The sequence below is a fragment of the Homo sapiens genome, chromosome 10, assembly GCF_000001405.40.
Source record: "Homo sapiens chromosome 10, GRCh38.p14 Primary Assembly".
NCBI classification, from domain to species: domain Eukaryota; kingdom Metazoa; phylum Chordata; class Mammalia; order Primates; family Hominidae; genus Homo; species Homo sapiens.
The window spans coordinates 19,323,439-19,348,146 of record NC_000010.11 but is presented as its reverse complement, the minus strand read 5'-3'; the positions used below and the strand labels follow the sequence as shown (position 1 = coordinate 19,348,146).

The window sequence follows — 24,708 nt, the reverse complement described above, 5'->3', positions numbered from 1 at the left end:
CAAAGTTGAATAAATTCAAACTCATCTTTTCTCTGGCCCCAGCCACTCTGTTTTCCGTATGTCAATTTATAAACTTGCTCACAATAATTCTGTGTTTGTTTGGTTGGTTGGTTCGATTTTCCCCATACCTTGCAGTTTTTGCTTCTCTTACTTATAACTGGACTTGAAATTCTGGCAGCTCTCATGGGCTGCTGAGGAAACAAACTCTTTATAAAGATGTAATGACCAGATGAATTTCCCAAAGTGTGATCTGCTGCTGGCTCTGTGCCTGCTGCAGGGATGCTGCTAGCTTTCAGGTTCCAGTCAAAGTCCTCATCTTTCTCCTGCTTCCAGGAACAAAGATCAAATTCGAAATCACAGCGCCCACTGGAGGTACCTGGAAAATATTTCCAAATATATGTTACAGAAAATGGAAATTTGCCTACTTTAAAACATGCAATTCAAAACTGCAGTGATCTTGCTGTATCATGTAATATTTGAAACCTTCATAATGCTATCCTGATAGCAACATATAAAGAGACTATTTTGGTTTGCGATACACACAGCTATTTCCGTGGCTTCTGTAAGTTCATTTCTCTACAAATCTGGTCCCAGTTTCAAAACTGATAAACTGTTTTAGCATTACACACATTTCCTTCTCTAAATACCTATTTGGTCAATATAATTTATTTATTCTGTCTTCTCATCTATGCTTCTCAGGTCTTGGTAAGAAATTTATTAAGTTTATTATTCTGCAATACATTTTAGGTTGGGTAATGCTGCCCCAAGCAAAAGTTATCATTTATCATAGTAGTTATTTTTTTAGAACAGTTCTTTATTTTAGAGAAAATTGTGAAACAGAAAAGTGAGGTAAAAAGGTGTGATAATTTGAATGAGCTTATTGAAATAAGTTGCAGAAATTAAATAGGTTAAGTTGCATTAAATACCACACTATCTCCCAGGTACTTTTTGAAGTATTTTATTACTGTCATTGCTTAAGTTGTTTTATTTTCCCATTTCCATGACAGTAGTAATTACACAGGCATCTTTTTATCGTGCGGCAAGTAAATTATAAAGCTGAAAATGGTAGTGAAGATGTTATAAAACTGAGCATTGTTGTATGAAGGTGTCATACCTTATACATTTATATATTTAGGACTTTTGATACTTTTCATTTTTAAGTCAATATTCATGATTCTGCATAAAACCAATGAGGGAGGCTGGGCATGGTGGCTCACACCTGTAATCCTAGCATGTTGAGAGGCTGAGGCAGGTGGATCACGTAAGGTCAGGAGTTCAAGACCAGCCTGGCCAACACGGTAAAACCCCATCTCTACTAAAAATACAAAATTAGCTGGGCATGGTGGCAGGCATCTGTGGTCCCAGCTACTTGGGAGGCTGAGGCAGAAGAATTGCTTGAACCCAGGAGGTAGAGGGTGCAGTGAGCGAGACTGTGCCATTGCAATCCAGCCTGGGTGATAGAGCGAGACTCCATCTCAAAAACAAAAAACAAAAAACCAATGAGTGAGTAATTTGATAAGTAACAAAATGTACTGTTTAGAATTCTTTAACGACAATAATTCTTTATGAAGTTCTTCTTGAATATTACAACTGAAATAAAAGTCTGTAAAATCATAAGTGAAATAAGTGTCCAAATATTAAAAATACTTGAAAAGAACCTAGGGTAGCATGTTGATATGTCTTCAGATAAATGTTTCTCTCTTAAATAAGCCTCATTTACACAATTGTTCAAAATTTTTAAGGCAAATGAGGGCAAAAATGATTCTGTCATCAAAACACTCAGGGATTTGCTCTCCAATGCACAAGCCAAAGAAACGCAGATAACCCCACAGATGCTATGGTAATTCCTGGACAAATCATGTACTCTATTTTATTACATATGACTCTTTAAGAATGTCCAAGTTCTATTGCACTTGGCATCAAATCAGTGAGGTTTTTGTTTGTTTGTTTCTGTATAGATACATTCTTATAGTTATCCCAAGTCAGATAAAATTATCTCAAGGTGCAAAATAAACCAATTACTCTTTGTAGTTTATAAGGTGGAGAATATGAAAGCATATGAGGCTGGGTGGAGTGCTTCACCCCTGTAATCACAACATTTTAGGAGGCTAAGGTGGGAGGATCACATGATGCTAGGAGTTCAAGACCATCCTGGCCAACAAAGTGAGACTTTGTCTCTACAAATAATTAAATTAAATTTTAAAAATTAAAAAAGAAAACATACGAGTTTTACCATCGTTTCTATGTCATTTGGGGATATATAAGAAAATACTAACATAAAATGTAAGCTAACTTTATTACACCTCTGAGCAAGAAACTTGTACAATAAAGAAAAAGGGCTTAAAATAATCATTTTTAGCTGTTGAAAGAACTAAAAAAAAAAAGATTACTTCAAGAAAACATCAAGACTAATAATTTGTTTTTCTAAATTGTTTAACAGCCAATACAAATTTGTAATGTCTTCAAGGATAGAGATACATTTTCTGTCATAATTTATGTCATCAAATGGAGAGAATGCCTTTTAAAAATCGAATTGCTAATTCAGTTTTCAAATGTCATTTGAAATGTATTTTGTAATTTTTTTTTTCCTAGAATAGACTATAATACTTATAACCTCTTGTAGTATAGAATACTGAAGTTCTAAGTATCCTTTCAAAGGACTGGGGAGTAGATGTCAGGAAAATAATAATGAACCCCAACTCAGCATCTAGTTTAGAATATGAACCGCTGTCTTAGTTAAGAACTATAAAATGAATAAAATAATTCAGTTGCCTTGTGCTGGAAAATTTAGCAGCCTGTGAGAAATATATTAGCATATAGAGCAGCATCTAGAGAGGCCATTTGTACAAGAAAATAATGTGTGCTGCTGAAAAACAGATTTGATATTTTCATTCATGTAAACACTGCTAAATCTTTATAATGTAAATCATATTTTTCTTTTGATCTTTTCCCTTGTTTTGAAGTTATGTTTCCTTGGAAAGTTTATTTCTAATATACCAGTGGGGAAAATAAAATAAGCAAAAATAAGTAGTTTGAATTTCACGTCACTGTGATGAGGGGGAACAACTTATAATTTCATATCCTATTATTTCCTATAGGCACCAGGTAATAAAAGGAGCACATAGTCTTGGGAACTGATGCCAATTCCTGGCATTTGTGGTGCAATTAATGCCAATATCAGACACCTGTGCCATCAGGAAGACAATGATCACCTTTGTCTAAAGCTGTGTCATCAATCAAACTATTTTCTACCTTTCCAAATCCTATAATTTGTCCATTGATCAATGTCTCTTACAGGTACAAAATTTGTAGGCTGAAAACCACGAAATGCTGATGAGAGAAATCAAAGATCTAAATAATGGGGAGAAACCTACTATGCTCATGATTGGAAAACTCAATATATTAAAAATATGACTCCCCCCCCCCAATTGACATGGTATTAAATGCAATTTTTATCAAAGTTCCATAACTTGTAGATATATATTTTTATAAAATATATATAGAACGTCAAAGGGACTAGAATAACTAAAACAATTTTGTATAAGAAGAATGAATTAGGAGGAATTAATCTAACTGATTTCAAGATTTATGATACAGCTTTAGTTAACCAGACTGTCTTGTACTGGTGGAGGAATAGATACCTAGATCAATAGAACAGAAAAGAACCCAGAAATAGCTCCATGTAAGTACAACTAATTTTTGACAAAGGTACAAAAACAATTAAATAAAAGTAGGACAGTCTTGTCAATGATGCTGGAGTAGTTGGTTATAGGCAAACATAAAAATAAAGAAACTGTGACCAAATTTGACACTTTAGACTAAAATTAACTAAATGATTCATACTCTTAAATGTAAAATGTAATATCATACAACTTTTTAAAGAACACAAAGGAGAAAATCAGGGACCTAGGACTTGGTGAAGTATTCTTAGATGTGATATCAAAGCATGATCTGGAAGAGGAAAGATCAATACATTGAACTTCATCAACATTAAATATGTTTGCTCTGCAAATGATCCTGTTAAAAGAACAAAAAAGACAACCCAAAGCCGGGGAGAAAATATCTGCCATTCACATATCTGTTAAAAGACTTATACCCATAATGTGTAAAGAACTCTCAAAACTCAACAGTTAAAAAGAAGTCTAATTAGAGAATGGGCAAAAGAGATATTTCAGCCAAGGGGATATATGGATTATAAACAAGCACAGGAAATAATATTCAACATTACAAGCTATTGGGAAAGTGCAAATTAAGACCATGGTGAGATATTACTCCTCAGTTATAAGAAGGGTAATATAAAAATAAAATAGTAACACCACCAAATCATCACAAGGACGTGGAAACACTTGTTCTTGTGTACATTATTGGTGGTAGTGTGACACGATGCAATCGCTCTGGAAAATAGCACCAGGGTATGGTTACCTCAATAGCATGAAACATGACTAAGCAATACAAAGGAAAACGTGATTTATACACACAACAATTTTGATGGATCTCAAGAGGATGATGCTGAGAGAAAGAAGATCTTTAAGACCTATTCTCAAAGGTCACATCCTGTAGAGTTCCATTTATATAACTTTCTCAACATGATAAAGCAAAGAGATATAAAACAAAGTAGTGGCTTCCTGAGGTTAGGGATGATGGGAATGAGTTTGACTATAAAGAAGTAGCTCAAGGAAGATCTTTGTAAAGATGGAGTATCTTGATTGTGGCAATGATGCTTTACACAAATTTATGCATGTAATGAAATGCTGCAGACTTTCAAACATTGAGACAATATTAGTTTCTGGGTTTTAATACTGGACCATAGTTAGGTAACCACTGAGGGAAAAATGCATGAAGGGTACATAGTATTTTTCTGCACTCTCTTTGAAGTTTCTATGAATTCATAATTATTTCAAAATTGAAGGCTAAAAATATTAATATCACTTGCTGATTATCATTAGGAATTTATGATAGAGTGGTTTCCAGTGTATTTTGTTATTCTGTGAAGTAATAATCATAAATACATTAAACAAAATTTTTCACACTGTGATATACAGAATGACCGTCCTATAAAGGGCATATTTGTGTTCCTACAAAGAAAAAGGCAGTTTTGAGGGTAAATAATTTAGAAAAACTCTATGTGCATCAACCTTTTGAAAATTCATAAGGCATATTATATATCAAACATTTGGAAAATATGGATTATCTCATGAGTGATTCAGAGAGGTCCTTCATATATAATTTTTCCTTCTCTGTCAACGACCTGATTTTATAATCTGGAAAATATTATCCTAAGACTTGCCACTTAAGACACTGCCACAGAGAGAGGAGGGACCACTGCTGGTAATTTTGGAAAGACAATGAATGTGGTCTTAGCTCCTGTCACTCAGCTGCAGTCAGGACAGCTGATCCTTCCCAGAAAGCCTGCCTTAATAACATCATGATACCTGACCTACTTTCTAACATAATTTCTCAAAGAAAACAAAAGCTATTCTCAGTCCATGCTTAATAACATCTCTGAAAACACACTGGTTGTTTTCAAAGCAATGTGTTACTTTCATGAAAGCCCACGTTGGGATTAGTATTTATATATGACTAAATTATCTTCATTTAGCCCCTCCAAAAGTACTTGGCACTTTCTCTAACTCTCAAGAAATGCAAATGTTTATTTACATATCTCTTTTACTAGACAAGAAGCTCCACAATTATTCAGGTCATATCTTGTTTTCTTTGTTTTTGCTCTAGGGCCACTTCTATTGGGGGTGCCTAATGTTTACCAAATAAACAAATGAAAAGGAAATCTGGTAGTAATATGTCAGATAATGTGAGTGTTAATTATAAGATGCTTCCTTAGATTTTAAATGGTTATTGACTAAGAACAAAGTAATGACGCAGGTCAGTCGTTTTCAGTACCCAGGATAATGCACACTGGTGTACTACTCCCTAGCCCAGAGGCAGTGTACACTGTGAAATTAATTTTTACCACAGCGGAGCACTAATTACGAAATGATAAAAAGTTTCAGATGGAACGTCGACCTTACTATAATAAATAAATAATATACGTAATATAAACTTACTGCAAAAAGTAACAATTATACCTTCAAACCACAGTCCCTTCTCCCCCAGAATTCATCAGTTTACTTGGAAATTAGAGAACGCTATATAGTTATATGCCATAACAATTAAAAGAGGGCAGTCAAGATGTGAACACATCAACTCAAAAAACTCAGTAAATAAAAACATCCTGAGGGATAAAGTGGGTGGTGAAATTCTCCTTATGCATTTATAGAACCCAAACGACACTGTTACTGACATGGTGATGAAATAAAAGGGGCTGGGTTTTAATTATTCTTGGCTTTTAAAAATGTCTTTGTTTTTTTAACTCCTTCAGTTACATCGCATATCGTTTGGCTTGATTCATCATTTTTCATTCTTTAGTCAAATATTAATTTCTCAATGAGAATTTCTATGACTACCCTATTTAAAATTATAAGCCACGACTGCAAGCATTTTGCTTTACTTTTCCTTACTTTTTGCTGGAACACTAATCACTGTAATATCTGTGTGTGTGTGAGTGTTTTATATACATGTATGTATAAAATACGTGTGTGTGTATATATATGTGTGTATATATATACATATATACACACATATATATACATATATACATATATATACACATATATATACATATATACATATATATACACATATATATATATACATATAGTGTTATTTTACTTATTTTGTTTGATATTTGTGTCCCACCCACCACCAACAGTCAGAATGGAAACTCCACAACAGGACATGTGTATGTATTGTTCACTTCATTATCCCAAGAAACTAGAAAAAATGCCAGACATATCATAATAAACACTTGCTGAATGAATGCTCATTTTTACAAGTTTCTCAAAACCTTCAATAAGTTATATTAGTAGGCAAATACATGCATATGAACTATGTGTTGACTTGAATATATTTTAGTCTATTCAATTCATAAAAACAGAGAGAAAGTTGTAAAAAATATAGAAAGATATACAAAATAAAACACAAATTATTGCTAATGGTTAAAAAATTAATATCGAATATTAAAACCAATAAATATTTGCTTATGTTGACAAGGAACTAAAGAGTGCAATACTAGCTCCCCCTTCCACCAGAAAGCTTTGTAAAATTTTTTGTATTATTGAGAGCAATGCTTTTCAAATTTTAATACACATATGAATCACCTGAGGAACTTGCTAACATGAAGTTTATGATTTAGTGAGTCTCAGATGGGGTCTCAATGCTGGCAAAGATGCTGATGCTCTCTAGACCAAAATTTAAGTAGAGGTGAGTTTAATTATTTAACAATGCTAAATTTTGCACTGCTATGACATAAAAAGTAATGATATTTTGAAGCACATTTCATCCAGTGGGAAATAACCTGTGTTTAAACATATCTGTAATAATTGTGAAAGACTGCTATTAAGTGATTGAGTATAAGAGTTTGGTTGATTTTTTTATTAAATGTTCTTTCCCCTCATCCTCCCAGTCTATGCAGAGTACACTTTTCTATCCCACTGATTTTGGAAATGGATTTGTGACTTTGTATGGCCAATGAAATATTTAGACGCATGACACAGGCAGAGAATAAACATTTACTTTCATGTCTGGATTTGTGCCCTTTTCCTCCTATTTTTTGCTCAAAGAACATGCCTTAGGTAGCTGCTGGCTCAAGCCTGGACTCCACCCACACCTTACAAGTAAGCCCTGCTAAGCTCAACCCGAATCACAGAACCTTGTGGGGATGTTAATGGGTACAAAAAAAAAAAAGTTAGCACATCAAATTGACTACAGTCAGTGATAAATTAATTTTACATTTTAAAATAACTAAAAGAGTGTAAATAGATTGTAACACATGGGATAAATGTTTGAGAGGGTAGATATCCCATTCTCTGTGATGTGATTATTTCTCAAGGCATGTCTGTATCAAAACATCTTATGTAACCCGTAAACATAGACATCTACTATGAAATGGTTTGGCTCTTTGTCCGTACCCAAATGTCATCTCAAATTGTAATCTCCAAGTGTCAGAGAGGGACCTGGTAGGAGGTAATTAGATCATGAGGACGGTTTCCCTCATGCTGTTCTTATGACAGTGAGTGAGTTCTCAGGAGATCTGATGGTTTAAAAGTATGGCACTCACTCCTTCGTTCTCTCTCTTCTGCTTCCATGGAAGACATTCCTTGCTTCCTCTACACCTTCCACTGTGATTGTAAGTTTCCTGAGGCCTCCCCAGCCATGTGGAACTGTAAGTCAGTTAAACCTCTTTTATTTTTAAATTACCCAGTCTCAAATATGTCTTTATAGCAGCGTGAGAATGAACTAATATAACACATACTATGTACCTACAAAATTTAGAAATTTAAAAATTAAGAAAACACATCACAGAACCTCATCACATACAGGGTGAAAATAAGAAATGGTTTTTAAATGGCAATGAATTTTGCTGTAGTTTGTTACACAGCATTATCATGATACAGATGACTTATGCAGAAGTTAGTACTTGTAATGGAGTGCTGACATAAAAATTACCTAAAATTTGTAGCAATGGCCAGGATGGCAAGCAATAAAGGAACTGTTATAGGAGACTGAAAATTTTGAGATTTATGTTATGTAACATCAAAACATTTGAGAAACCTGGTGCCCAAGATATTGTGGAAAGCTGAATATGTATATAACTATATTACAAATTTGTGTGAGGAGCTTTTTGGGCAAAATGTTGAAAACGTGAATTGGCTACTACTTGACGTATTTGATAAGATGCCACGAGAAAAATATAAGCTCAGGAAAGAACTGAGCAGCTAGTAAACACATTTAAGAAGGCAAGGAGAGAGGTCAGAAATTCTGAGATTTTAAACCTCAGAAATAGAAACTTTAATTGATCATTTAAATAGTGGACTGCTAAAATACATCTTCCAGAAAAGACCAAACCCAGGGCTCCACCATGAAGGCATGGCCTTGGGATAAAGTCCAAACTAAGTGTAGAGCTGCAGACTGTTTTTCAGACTTTTGACAGGAAAAGCATCCTCCTAGGGATGTGTGTGTGTGTATGTGTATTTATGTGTGTGTGTGTGTGTGTATAGTCACCCTGACGTGCTAATAGTAGGACTTATTAATTCAATCTAACTATATATATACACATAGTTGTATATATAGTATATAACTAGTATATGTATATACTAGCATATAGTATATATGTAGTTTTATATATATAATATATGTATATATGTGCGTGTGTGTGTGTATATATATATACATATAGTTAGAAATAATTAATAATACATACTGTTTGACAGCACATCAGGGTGACTATAATCAATAATATCTTAGTTTTACTTAAAATAACTTAAAGAGTATAATTGAATTGTTCGTAATTCAAAGGATAAATGCTTGAGGAGATGGATACCCCATTCTCCATGATATGCTTATTTTACGTTGCATGCCTGTATTCAAACATCTCATGTACCCCATAAATATATACACCTACTATTATATGGTTTGGCTCTTTGTCCCCACCCAAATCTCTTCTCAAATTGTAATCCCCACATGTCAGGGAGGGACCTGGTGGGAGGTGATATTTTTTATGGTTTATTTTGTTATGGTTTTACAAAAGTCTGAGACATCCAGCTTTAAAAATAATTGAGCTATCACATCCATTATTAATTGAAAAAAGGAAATTTGAAAAGGCTACATGTTGTATGATTCCAAATACATGATATTCTGGAAAAGACAAAACTATGGAGACAGGATCAAAATCAGTTGCCAGCTGTTTAAGGGTAGAGAGGAATAAACAAGCGGAGCATAGAGGATTTTTAGGGCAATGAAACGACTCTGTAAGGATACTATGGTAGTCGATACATGTTATTATACATTTGTTAAACCCACAGAACATACAGCACCAAGAGTGAGACCTAATGTAAACTATGGAGTTTGAGTGTTAATGATGTGTCATTGTAGGTTTATCGATTATAGAAAATGTACCACTCTTGTATGGGGAAGGCTATGGGTATATGGAAAGAAGGAGTATATGTACTTTCTTTCTTTTTTTTTTTTTTTGAGACAGAATCTTGCTCTGTCACCAGGCTGGAGTGCAGTGGCGTGATCTTGGCTCACTACAACCTCTGCCTCCTGGGTTCAAGCAATTCCCCTGCCCCAGCCTCCCGAGTAGCTGGGACTACAAGTGTGTGTCACCACGCCCAGCTAATTTTTTGTATTTTTAGTGGAGATGGGGTTTCACAATGTTGGCTAGGATGGTCTTGATCTCCTGACCTCATGATCCACCCACCTTGGCCTCCCAAAGTGCTGGGATTACAGTCGTGAACCACCGCACCCAGTTGATAACTGTACTTTCTACTCAGTTTGTTGTAAACCTAAAATTGCTATAAAACTAAAGGTATTAAAGATAAACATGAAAAAAGACAACCTACAAAATGATGATAAATATTTGTAAATTGCATATTTGATAATGATTTAAGATTTAGAATTCTAAAGAACTTCTGTAACTCAACAAAAGATAAACAATTCTGTAAAAAAATGGACAAAATACTTCAATAGACATTTCTCCAAAAAGAGATACACAAATGGCCAATAAGATCAAGAAAAGATGTTCAACATCATTCATCATTAGGAAAATACAAATCAAAACCACCATGAGATTACACTTCATACTCCCTAGGATGGCTATAACTAAAAAGCTTAAAAAGGAAAGCAGCGGGTCCCAGACCTCCTTCAAAAATTTGCTTGAATACCTTCTCACCTAGGCCTGTCCTTACTGTGCTACTTAATATTTTAATTTGCCATCCTTCCATTTCATGATTTCTTATGTTTTATCTTTTTCTCATAGCACTGATCACCTCTTAACAAGCTGTGTAATTTTACATACACATATGTAAGTATGTACCTATTACTTAACAAATTGTCTAGCTTACTTATATACACATATGTTAAGTATGTACATATACACATACACACATATGTATATGAAAGTTTACTTACATATACATATGTGTAAGTTTACTTGTGTATAATATATACACAAATATATACACACAATATATTTTGTGTAATACATATACACACACAATATATATTTTCTGTTTAACAAAGAAGTACATGCTCAAGAAGAACAGGATATTTTTTCTGTTTCATTTAATGATATATACTAGGTGTCTCAAAAATTGCTTGCCATATAACAACTGCCCAATAAATATATATTAATTAAATAGTTTTGTCTTTATTTTTCTTTATTCTTGGCAGGGTTTTGAAAATTTTATTGGTCTTCTGAAGTCCTCCATCTTAGATTTGTGTTCTATTTCATTAATTTGTGCTATTACCTAATTGGTTTCTAATATAATTTTTTAAGGCAAAACATTTTTCTCTATCTACTGGCTTAGCAAATGCCCACAGTTTATGTTATGCAATATTCTTGTTATTTCTGTTTCAAAATATTTTTAATTTAATGTGATTTAGGAGGGGGGCATGGGCTATTAAAAGTGTCTTTTTCCTAAACAACAGGAGTTTCCTAGACATTGTCTTGTCATTGATCTCAAGCCTAATTCAGAAGGTATACCCTAGGTGACTTTAACCCATCAAAAATTACTACTTAAAATTATAACCCTTTTTTGTTCTTTGCTAAATGTTCTGTGTGTGCTTGAAAATGATACATATCTGAAGCTGTGAAACTGTGTTACATATGCCCTTAGGTGCAGATCACTGACTGTGTTGGTCAACTCTATTGCATCCTTACCACAGCACAAAGTTAAAACATTTGGAGAATGCTTGAGATACTCTGAATTGTGTCTCATCCGTAAATAAGCTAATTAGAATGTATTTGAAAGCTAATAAAATGGTTGTTTCCCATAGAAGTCTCTGTATCAATGGCATGATTATGTTCAAATAAGATTTTAGAGTTCCTAGATACACAAATCACTTTTGACTACATCCTGTATTGTAGAAGTGTTATTCAGATTATTTTTTAAAATTACTTTTTTATAGATTCTTGCTTTCAGAGTCTACACTGATATACAGATAATTAAAGCAGGATGTACATGTTTATATTACAAAGGATTTCTAAGTATTTTATTCTCTTTGTAGCAGTTGTGAATGGGAGTTCACTCATGATTTGGCTCTCTGTCTGTTATTGGCTGTCGGCGGGTGGGGGGCTAGGGGAGGGACAGCATTAGGAGAAATGCCTAATGTAGATGACGGGTTGATGGGTGCAGCAAACCACCATGGCACGTGTATATCTATGTAACAAATCTGCATGTTCTGCACATATACCCCAGAACTTAAAGTATAATAATAAAAAAAAATTTTTTCTCCATGAAATGTTTTATATCTTTAGAAAGAGTTGATTTCTTTCATTCTTTCTGCTATTCCTAGATGGTATATTTCTACCTAATCACATTTTCAAAGCCTTCTCAGAGTTGTGATATGTGTTCAAGCTTTACTTAGAATTCTCAAAACAAAACAAAGAAAGGAGACTGTGGAATTTAAACCCAAATACATGGTTGGTTGCCAGCCAAACTTTTGAAATCATTTTCTATGGTGATTCTTTTAATATTGTCTTTCTCTTCTTCTGGGTCAAATTAGGGCATCAAAGTTCATAGCATATAAATATAATAACACCACTTATAATTCATATGGCAGATTCCAGCCACTTTATAACTAAAACGTAACATTTAAGACCAGTAGACTGGAAACACAGTTGAACTTTTAAAAAAAAATTAGCAATGCTATGTTAAAAGAAATAATTCTCATGTAATGGCAACCAACGCCAAAATCAGGTTTATTCTGATTTGTTTGTTTGTCCTAGGAGCTGAAAAAGTTTTACTTTTCCTATGCATTATTTGGAACTAATTCAGCTTTGTTGCTCTAATATTACCGGTATGAATATGCCCACTCAAATCTAAAAAAAAAAAAAAACAAAAAAAAACAGAACAAGAGGTTTTGCAATCATTCACCAAAAAGCACCTTCTGATACAACTTATCCTCCAAAGGTTCATGATTACTTTTGCCTTTAGGTTTGAAATAAAAGAACTAACAAGACAGTATGTTTTTAATATGTTTCCGATTCCCTTGGTAAATCAGCATACGTTCCCTAATACAGAGAGAAATTCCTAGAAATACGCACAACTTTAGAGCCTAAATACAAAGAGTTCAAGAAATATTTAGCCAGAAATAAAATGATACCTTGAATTCTGAAAAATTACACTAAACTATATCTCTAGGAAAGAGATACACTGGAAACATTACAAATAAAATTCAAAAGCATTATATGTGCTCTATTTAACTGTTAACCTTATTTGTGTAATATTTAAGGGAAAATGACAATGAAGAAAATCTACAAGCACTTGATACAAAAATAACTAATAGCAGAAAATATTCATAAGGTAAAGATAAATAGTAATAAATACAGAATTCCAGAGTAGCAAAGTATTTTCCCTTTTTCACATAATAATGGATATAATAAATAATCCAAAATTGAAGGAATATATAGTCAAGTGATTTTAAAAGGACATCTATATCTATAACTGTAAAGAATAAGTTTTGTTTTCAACTGATACAGTAATTATCATATTTATGGGGTACAGTGTAATGTTTTCATATACGTATGTATTATAGTACTGATCGAACCAAAGTTAACACTTATCATCTCTCAAACACTTGTCATCTCTTGGTGGTAAAAACATTAAGTTTTTTTTTTTAAGATTCAGTTATACACAAAAGTGATAGGGTATATGCAGGAGAATGAAGCTGGAACTCTACCTTTTATCATACACAAATATAAACTCAGGACAGATTAAAGACTTAAAGGCAAGACCTAAAACTATAAAAATTCAAGAAGAAAACCAAGGAAACTGAATTTTTCACAATAGCCTTGGCAAGGAATTTATGACTAAATCATCAAAAGCAATTGAAATGAAACCAAAACTTGAGAAGTGGGACCTAATTAAACTAAAGAGCTCTGCACAGAAAAAAAAAAAAAAAAAAAAAAACCTACCAACAGAGTAAACAGACAACCTACAAGACAGCAGAAAATAGTCACAGACTACGCATACATACAACAAAGGTCTACTTTCCTGAATCCATAAAGAATTTAGTCAATTCAGCAATCAAAAAACAACCCCATTAAAAAGTGGGCAAAGGACATGAACAGACACTTTTCAAAAGAAGACAAACAAGGGGCAACAAACATATGAAAGAAATGCTCTGTATCACTAATCATCAGAGAAATGCAAATCAAAACCACAGTGAGATACCATCTTACACTAGTCAAAATGCCTTTATTAAAAAGCCAAAAAAGAACAGATGTTGGCGAGGTTACCGAGAAAAGGCAAAGCTTACACACTGCTGGTGGGAATGTAAATTAGTTCAGCCACTGTGGAAAGGAGTTTGAAGACTTCTGAAAGAACTCAAAGCAGAATTACCATTTGACCCAGCAATTCCATTATTGGATATATAACCAAAGGAAAATAGATCTTTTTCCCAAAAAGATACACGCATTCCTATGTTCATCGGAGCACGATTCACAATAGCAAAGACATGGAATCGATCCAGGTGCCCATCAATGGTGGATTGAATAAAGAAAATCTGTTACATATACACCACGGAATAATACACAGTCATAAAAAAGAATGAAATCAAGTCCTTTGCATCAACATGGACACAGGTGGAGGCCATAATTCTAAGTGAATTAATGCAGGAACAGAAAACCAAACACTGCATATTCTCACTTATAAGTGGATGCTCAACAATGGGTAAATGTGGACATAAACATGGGAACAATAAGAGCTGGGGACTACTAGAGTGAAGAGAAGGAGAGGAGGAAAAGGGCTAAAAATCTATTGTGTCCTATGCTCACTATCTGGCTGACAAGACTAACCATACCCCAAATCTCCCCATCACACAACATACAAGAAACCTGCAAATGTACCACTGATTCTAAAATAAAAGTTGAAATAATTTTTTTTTTTTAAAAAGAAGTGGTGTGGTAGCTTGGGCAAAACATTGGATCATAAATCAAAATACTTGAGTTCTAATGAGAACACATGGACAAAGGGAGGGGAACATCATACACCAGGGCCTGTCAGAGGGTAGGGGGCTAGGGGAGGGATAGCATTAGGAGAAACACCTAATGTTGATGGGTGCAGCAAACAACCATGGCATGTGTATACCTATGTAACAAACCTGCACGTTGTGCACATGTACCCGAGAACTTAAAGTATAATAATAAATAAAATACTTGTGTTCTAGGACCAACTCTGTCAGTACAAGTTTTATGAACTTTGACAAAACCTAAGGCACTCTTGTTGACAGCTTCATCTGTTGACTGCACTAATAATATCTTTCCCATGTACCTCTCAAGACTTCTGAAGTTCAAATGAAGATTAATAAATAAAAAGGCTTTGAACATTAAAAGTTCTATATATATGTAAGCTCTATATACTGAAGTTGTTCATGATATTCCAGGTTTGGTTCCAAGAAGCAAATAATATCAAACTGCAATATTCTAGCTCAGAAATTATTAAAGGTAATGGTGACATAATTTGTCAACCTTCATTTTGACAATTTATATACAACTCACTTGCAGTTAAATGAAGCAACAATTGGACTATGTTGCACAATCTTACAGGCTTAGCAGATTGAGTACATATGGTGCATTTAGCTAAGGATATTTTAATATATGGTGTTCATTATGAGTTGATCTCCTTTAACCATATCACACAGCTGATATGTATCTCCTTGAGAGATCACTTTGTCTATTTTATATACAGGTATTTATCAGGGTGTTGATTTTTTTTAACAACCTATCACATCTGACAATATACACAGAGAAATGACAATCCTCTGAAATGCATCAGAGGCTGCAGGCTCACCAGTCCTGCATGAATTGTCTTTAATGAAAATTTTGCCTGTCATTTTTCAAAAAAAAAAAAACAACATTTATTTCAGGCCAGGCACAGTAACTCATGCCTGCAATCCCAGCACTCTGGGCAGCCAAGGCAGGCAGATCATGAGGTCCAGAGATCAAGACCATCCTGGCCAACATGGTGAAACCCCACCTCTACTAAAAATACAAAAAATAGCTGGGCGTGGTGGCAGGCGCCTGTAGTCCCAGCTATTCGGGAGACTGAGGCAGGACAATCACTTGAACCTGGGAGGCGGAGTTTGCAGTGAACCGAGATCACGCCACTGCACTCCATCCTGCAACAGAGTGAGATTCCGTCTCAAAAAAACCACTTTCATATGAAAAATACTTGTTTCCATTCTGTTTTTCTTTGAAGACACCTGTTTTCCAATTTATCTCCAATTAATACACACATACACACACACAGCCATCAATTGGTTGTAAATGAATTATGATTATAAATGAATTATTCAGAGAAAGGAGGGAATGTGTCAAGTTAAATCACCTTACCTTCCCCTGGTGTTGAGATACACACACTCTGCATGTTTCAACAATAAACACAGATATTGAGTAAGGCTGTGGGAGTTGAAGGCAAAAGTAAGAAAACAGAACCCTTTTACTTACGGCAAATGAAAGTAGTCTCATCTGAATTATCAGCACAATCATTCACAAAATCACACAGCTTGTCTTTGGCAATGCAGTGCTTATTAGCACACATGAATTCATGATCAGTACACTTTCTCTCTGGGCTAAGCAAAGGGGAGCAATCTTGGAAGGAAATATCATCCACTGCTACATCTCCTATGTAACTGATACCACGTTTGGCTCTGAAGACAATCTAAAAAAAAAAGCCAGTTACAGTTAAACTGTCAATCAAGAAGTTCAAAACCTGGGCAAACACTAAGTATCAAGCACATCAATCGTGAATCTGTTTTTTGTTGTTTGTTTTTTTGTTTTTGTTTTTGTTTTTTATGTCCCTATGTTGAAAGTGACCCAGGAAATTTAAGGACCATTTAAGACCTAGGTCATCCTCAACACCTAAGAATGTGGGAGTGGCAACACCACTGGCTTATGTCTAGATTTTTAGGATATGGGTCTAGAAAATTTGCAGGAGACACCAATCCACTACTGCCTTTGCCAGCTCTCAGATCTCCAACAAGACCTACTCCTGTTTTAGAGCATCACTGCACAGGAAAGCAGTAGATCAGATGACATAAAGTACCAAGAGTGAAAAGATACAAGTAGATTCTTTATTTTGCTCAATTCTTGTCATTCATCAGATCTCTTCATTCCTACTATTTGAAAGCTAAAAGATAAGTCCTCAATACCATGAGTTTTTTTTTTTTAAATTGTACACATCTTTGGAATTGAAATGATTTTGATTTGCTTTTGATTCATGTATGTGATGAGCAGAATCTTCATGTGTCCTATTGTTTGACAATGATTTCCCACGTGTGTGGACTTCAGTAGAATCAGGAAGAATGAAGAATAGTAACAGGAATCATTAATGCTTTTACAAATTCCATCTTCAATTTATCAACAATACCATTGCTTGGAATAAAAATGAATGTTGTTTCACAGGTACATAAAACATCACATATTCTGTAGTTTAGGATTTTTCAGAGAAAGGAATTCAGTCTTTTTATTAAGTTTTTCTGTAAGCTAAGTATGTATATGTTAACATAAGAAATATTGAGATATTTCAAAATAAATTTAGAACAATTGGAGGCGAGTTAACAAGGACAGTTTTACTTTAGTGATTTTGTACAAAATATTTACTGTTACCATATTTAGAAATATATTTTGACCAATTCTGGACAATTATTTTTCTTAAAAGAAATAATTATAGTTTTTTTTTTCCTTCAGATGCGGTAAGTCTTTATACTATTGTGTGAACCTAGGTGTTCTCCTCTTAACATGAGAGGTTGGAATAATTGAAATCATGCCTCTCACATTATCAAAAAAAAAATATAACTGTGTTCATATATTGACTTCATGTAAAAGGAATAGACTGCTCTTCATAGTAGGTGAGCTTGGAAAGAAAAAAAATATTAGTAAGATAGATGAAGAGCTTGAAAGTGATTAAAAAGAGATGAAACCAGAAAGTATAATAAGGACTATGACTTTCTTAAAAGGGAAATTGAGCCATGGAAAAATATTGATATGCAAAATATAAAAGATACTCTATTATCTGGATAGTCTAAAATTTCAACATATGCTGCAATGCTCTGTGAATAAGAAATCAGATAATGCAATGAGTGTTGCACTGTTAACTGGCTTATCTTCTGCCATATAGGTACAATCTCAGATACTTGCCTTGTTCAAATAATCAAATCATCACTTATATCTCAATGCTTCATATAAGGTTGGTTGGGATTCCCTAGACTTTAATACCGAATGTGATTAACTGTTATTAAAAAAGAGAGAAACTACAATGTATCTTTCTTCAGACAGAATATAGTCAGGGTTAATTATTTTCTAAAATTTGGTAGACAATGTAGCATGGCAGTTGCACTGTGGACTGGTGGAAGGCCTGACCTTGTCTACAGTCAGCCTCTGCCATTTGTAGTTACATAACTAGAACAAAAGACCTAACATCTGGGTATTTCTGTATTCTAATTTATAATATGGAGATAATAATACTATGTAATTCATAAGGTTATTGTGAAAGCAAAATGAGTAAATATTTTAAAAATTCATAAATAGTATGTAGCACTCAGTAACTGCTACATATGCAATTGCTCAAATAGTAAAAATTATTGTAATTAAATATTTTGTTTAAATTGGGGGGGGGTCCCAAATAAAATTATACAAGCTTCCCAGTGATGCTTCAGCATACCATTTCTAAAAATATTTTATATGTTTCCCCAAGGGCTAGAGGCAGTCTTCTTTGTGAGACTAAAGAGAACGATCTTGTAAAAAATGGCAGAATCACGAAGAGTGTGCCTAACTAACCACTGTCTCTCTCGTGCATGGTGCATAGCAATGTGCTTTGCACGTAGTAAGTGCTTAATATGGAAGAAATCACACATAAAACAGCAAATATTCACAAGCCATTAATATTTACTTTTAAGAGTCAAAAAAATCAGGGGTATACTCTTTTTTAATCTCAATATGTGAAAAACTAGAAATTCAGAATGGCTAAATTAATAATTGATTGTATGTGCTGAAATTCCCCTTAATATTACTTCAAACACGATTTTACTATACAAATATTTTACATGCACAGAACTAGTTAAGACTTCATCTCCTGGGGTGGAAGCCCAAGTGTGGCAGAGTAGAATCTTCTACATGTTCTTGCTGAGATTTCTTCTCGCCTCAGTTTAAAGACCTGAGAGGCTGAACAGTTGGGATCCCTCTAATAAAAAGTTTCATGTTGCGCAAGGCTATGAAACTGATATTCAGTCTTTACTGCTTCAGGTTGAACTTCCTTCTTATGCATATCCTAAATTATCTAAAAGTGATTCATAAGAAAACTGGATTCCAGAGAGAGGCAAAAGATACATGGGATTTACTACACCTATCATTCCAAGAAATTGGCTGTAACACTTTTCAGTGCTTTTATACAATGGAAGCCTGTATACTCCCACTGGAGTTGAGAGGAGCTGATCTATCAGAGAAAGCACATGATTGTAGATGTATTTATCTGAACATTCACAGCCAACTTGGCTACCCCAGCTGCACATGGAAGAGTGAAAATGCAATATTTAACAAGAATTTTATCCCTTCTATCTGGAGATAAACGGCTCTAAATTCATGGAATTAAGACCCAGGCAGTTAAGACTAAGAAGAAAATGTTGTACATAAATGGCTCTGTGTTCTCACTCTGCTTATTCAAATTTTAACAAATCTTCAGAGCTAAGCCTCATCTTCTGAGAAAATTCCCAAGAAAACAACAGCCAATGGAGGTCTTGCTTTCTTGGTAATCCATAAGAAATATGCTTTGTGCCAAACATTTCAGCACATGCTTATTTCCAGTTTAAACATTTTCATCTTCGTACTAGTACTTTTCTTTAGTTATTAATATGTATAGGTCTGATCCTCTTACTACTATCACAAATTCCATGAAGACAAATACAGCATTACACAATACTGTGCCCCCCAAAAATATTTTTAAATTAGGTGAATCTATTCCCTATAATAATGTTTAATAATATAATATGTTTTCCAAAGACTATCTTTTAAATTAGGGTTGAAAGAATTAATTGCTGTACAAGCTCTGAGAATATATTTGCAAAACAGAGGTAAATGTTCCTTATACGTGTGAGGCTGACTGGGGAGTGAAGGAGGGTTTTTATTCAAATTAAATGTTCCTAGAGGTACGAATATCTACTTGGAAGAAATTAGAGCATTCTGAAGTTGTCAATCCCTTATGTAAAATGCTCCATGGAGTGTTAAGCATGGTGTCCACGCATCCACAGAACACATCAAAAAGGGAATGGGGGCAAGAAGACTGTGAGTAGAGAAGGAAATAAATGAGGATGAAAAAAATCAGCAGAACTCACTCACCCCATAACTACCTGTATTACACACCTGTGTATGTGAACGAATGCCTAAAAACACTTCTGCTCTCTTCCACTGTGCACCTTGCTGTCCAGTTTGAGCCCACAATTTAGAAGTAACGTTATCTTTCTTGATGAGCACCTATAGAGATAAATCAAGTAAAAGGCACTGAAGTATTTTATCTTGAGAAATTGCAAACATGTAGAATTCTTCCAGTGATTTTTTTTTTTTTAGTTGCAATATCAACATGAAGTCCTGGAGAGAAGAGCTAAGATATTTTTTATTAGATATCTTTGTTTTCTACAGCATTGTGCCCCTAGCGTACCTCACAAGCTTTCTACAATAAAGATGTGCATGAATATCTGTCAGTCAAGTCCTAAGGTATCTGGGCACCATTTAATTAAGAACTCAACTACATTAACTTTTTAAAAATCTGGCAGCAGTAACAATTGCTGTTTTATATATTAAATAATATTCATGTGGTCAAATGAGAAAGTATGGAATTGCTTACTAAAACACTCTTTTGAGAATGATCTTTCTCATTAGATGGTTCCAGAGAGGCAGTAATGTTACAATGTCAGCTCATTTCATTGTAAGCGCACAGATGGGTAAGATGAGTGAGCATCTATTTATGCTGCGCCAGTAAGAGCTTCCTGCCCAACAGCCATGAAACAAACATATTCTCATCAGTACTGTACCCCCAATGTAAAGCAGAATCCAGATTACTCTCAGAAAACTATTATGGCTCTTCTTTTAGAATGATACAAAATGAGCCATGAAGAGAGTAACTAAGGCTCAAAGGAGAGTGGAACAACTTCTGATTTTAAAATAACTGACTTACACAGTGTATTAAATGATTTCACAACATTACTTTTTAAAAATAGAATTCATACAACCAAACAATTATTCAGATAAAAGATTTGTGAAAGTCCTGACTTTTAAAAGTGAAGATGAATTTTAATGATTACATTATCTGTTTTTTTAATTAAATTCACATTTTTAAAATATAATTGGAGTTTCCAGAGTCATAGAAAAAATAATGTGTTACTAGCAAAACTATCATGAAATGATCAGTCTATAAAATTCAAATTAATTTGGAACATTATCAAGGTCAAGAAAACATCATTTCTAACCAATCAGTAAAAATCAATTTTGAAAGGCATTGAAAAAAATGTATAGCAAATGAGTCTTCTTTATATTAATACCACACTATATACAAATCACTGAGAAAAAATATGTTCAAGAAACTTACTAATGCAACATTTAATGTTATTTTATTTATCCATGCACAAAAATAAGGCATTGATATCATTTTATTCATTTGATAATTCCATACTTACAAAATTTTAATCCTTTTAAAAAAGTTCATCTACCAATACCAAGTTTTATACTGAAAAAATGAAAGCATATTTCACATCATCAATCTTAACCCCACAATATTCCAGGCAAATAATTCTCATTTTACTGACGAAAATCTTACAGTAAGTTGTAGTAATTGTTTTGCCTGAAAACATTTTTAAAAAGTCAATTTACAACAATAAGTTTTAACGTCAACCCAGAAGCCCATTTGGATGTCTTTAGATTATTAAACATAACCATGCGTGTATACACACAAATATACTTTTTAACTGTTTTCAGAACGAAGTCTCACATTATAAAAAAAATTCTAAAATTGATATGAAATTTAATATGTTTTTTGAAAGAAACTATGTTTATCTCAAGTTTCTTTAGAAAAATGAATAACAATAGCCAGGAAAATCCTAGAATAAAACAAAATAGGAGTCAGGGTAGCACCTACTACTAATATTGCAATCAACCTTTCGGAAAACGTATGACCTAGCAGTTAGTCACAGTCTGTATCTCTCTACTGGGGAAAAAGAAAGCAGGAAACTCACGTCTAATCTTGTTGCAAATATGCTAGAGATTTCTTGGCAAGCTAATAGTATTTAAAAGGGGGAGAGTCCTTATCAATAGATTGCTTCCAGCAAGATAGCCCTACTCTAAAACTGCTCATAGTACATACAATTCTGGAATTTGTGGATTTATTTCAGACAGGGCTTCCCGGAAAGAAACACATAAGCTATGAAACACAATAAACAGAGATGCTCCAAAATTGAGTTGGCTTCTTCAATATAACTGAGGTGTCTACGCATATTACTCACGAACTTTATGCATTATTCTCCACCAGGGCATATACAGTATGGGAAGACAGGACTTGGGAATCTGAATTAATATTCCAGAACTCTTCTCTGGCCTGTATATGTTGGATGCCCCAGAAAAAAAAAAAAAATACAGGACTTTCTGAAAGAATAGTTAATTCCAGAGACAGGACAGGATAAAAATAAGGTGAAGTTTGTAACATCTTGGCCAAATAGAAAGAATATGCTCAAAGAATAATGGGCCTTTTTAGAGAGACATGGAGGTTCGTTAAGAGGGACTCTTATTTCCAAATCTGAGACAGTTTGAGGAGCAAATAAATAATAATACTAATAGATTATAATACATTGACTAAAATAGAAACTTATGAGTCCACATTGATATAAAACAGTAAATGAGCAAACAAATAGAGGGATGAGAATTTTTTTTTTCCAACATGAATCAAACCTACAAATGTGGACAGAATAATTGAGTTAGAACATCACAATTAGGCAATCAGCATTGTAAAATTAGTTCAAGCAAAAAAAAAAAAAAAAAAAAGCAACTACTGAAGGCAAAAATTTGTGGGTAAAATGGAGATGAAATAAATATTTTACACATCCTTAAAATATCTCTTGGCAAAATATTTATTGATAACAAAAAAAAACAAAAGTAATGGGGCTTATAAGGATCACTAACAGGATGCAATAGAAATAACACCATATTGGTTATATAATAGGAAAAAAGGGCTTAACACAATAAAATTTAACTAAGAGACATTTTACAAAATGACTTGGCTATGGGCTTTTAAAATATCAAGTTTATAAAAACCTAGGGAAGATAAGGAATTATTCCTGTTTGAAAGACAGTAGAAAGAAATAACTTGGTATAATATATTATCCTATACTGGATTTTTTTTTTCTATAGGGGACATTACCAGGACAACTCGTTTTTTTTTAAAAAAAAAATAAGATCTCTGAGTGAAGTGTATATTGGAGTTGTCTGTGCTGTTCGTGAAACATTTATGAGTTTAAAACAGCTTAACGTTTTTAACAGAGAAACATTTTGAAAAAGACTATTACAGAATGTAGCACTACTACCATCAAAGGCAACAAGAAGACACATCCAGATATTACCCAAGTGTATATATTTATTTGATTGTGGTTATACTCAGAACACTGATACTGATACCTGCATATGTTTCAAGTGTAAAATAGTATTACCCAGAAGCTGTAACCTCAGCATAGAGACAACATTCATAATTAAATAGAATAAAAATTACTTATTAGCTATTCATGTCCAATTCTGCTAAAGCTTTTACTCCATATACCACTATAAATCTAGTGAAGTGTTGGTAATTGTCCATTTTCACTTATTAACAGAATATATTTTAATGATACCAAATTATGCACTGTGAACTTTTAGAGAGAAAATTCAGAAAATGTGATTGCCTAAGCAGTACCTGGAGAGAACCAACGGTGGCCCCATTCATATGTGTCCAGAACACCAAGGTACATTTTGGTCCCGTGAGTGAAATGATAGGAGTGAGAATGTCAGCCGTGTCACCAAATTTCCCATTAGAACTGTCAGCATACAGGTACCAGCCATCAGTGGTATTTCTGGAAAAGGAATTTATCATATTATAAAAGGAATAAGAGGCCGGGCACGGTGGCTCACGCCTGTAATCCCAGGAATTTGGGAGGCTGAGGCAGGTGGATCACCTGCAGTCAGGAGTTCGAGACCAGCCTGGCTACCATGATGAAACACCGTCTCTACTAAAAATACGAAAAAATAAGCTGGGAGTGGTGGCGTGTGCCTGTAATCCCAGCTATTCAGGAGGCTGAGGCAGGAGAATCACTTGAACCCAGGAAGTGCAGGTTGCAGTGAGCTGAGATCGCGCCATTGCACTCCCGTCTGGGCAACTAGAGCGAAACTCCGTCTCAAAAAGAAGAAGAATACTGTGAAACATAGTACAGTTTGTCACTAACCATATTTTATTGCTTTATATTTTTTCCTAAAAGTATAATGTGTTATATAGCTTAATTATGGTCCATTATCTTCATCAGAAATAATACTTCTGCCACTTTGATTTTGAACCCATAGTCCTTGTAATGATATCAATTGGTACA

At 33.9% G+C, this 24,708-nt stretch overlaps 1 protein-coding gene across 10 annotated transcripts in view; it reads right to left on the bottom strand.

Annotated features, from left to right (window-relative positions):
* The window catches only part of MALRD1 (MAM and LDL receptor class A domain containing 1), a 687,552-nt gene that overhangs the window by 386,332 nt on the left and 276,512 nt on the right, over positions 1–24,708 (bottom strand). For all 10 annotated transcript variants that reach the window (XM_011519453.3, XM_011519455.3, XM_011519454.2 and 7 more), the window contains 4 exons: positions 24,042–24,198; positions 20,474–20,584; positions 16,565–16,778; positions 129–376 (listed from right to left, as the gene is read on the bottom strand). In XM_011519453.3, the coding sequence (XP_011517755.1) occupies positions 129–376; positions 16,565–16,778; positions 20,474–20,584; positions 24,042–24,198 (730 nt within the window). The remainder of the gene's footprint in view (positions 1–128; positions 377–16,564; positions 16,779–20,473; positions 20,585–24,041; positions 24,199–24,708) is intronic.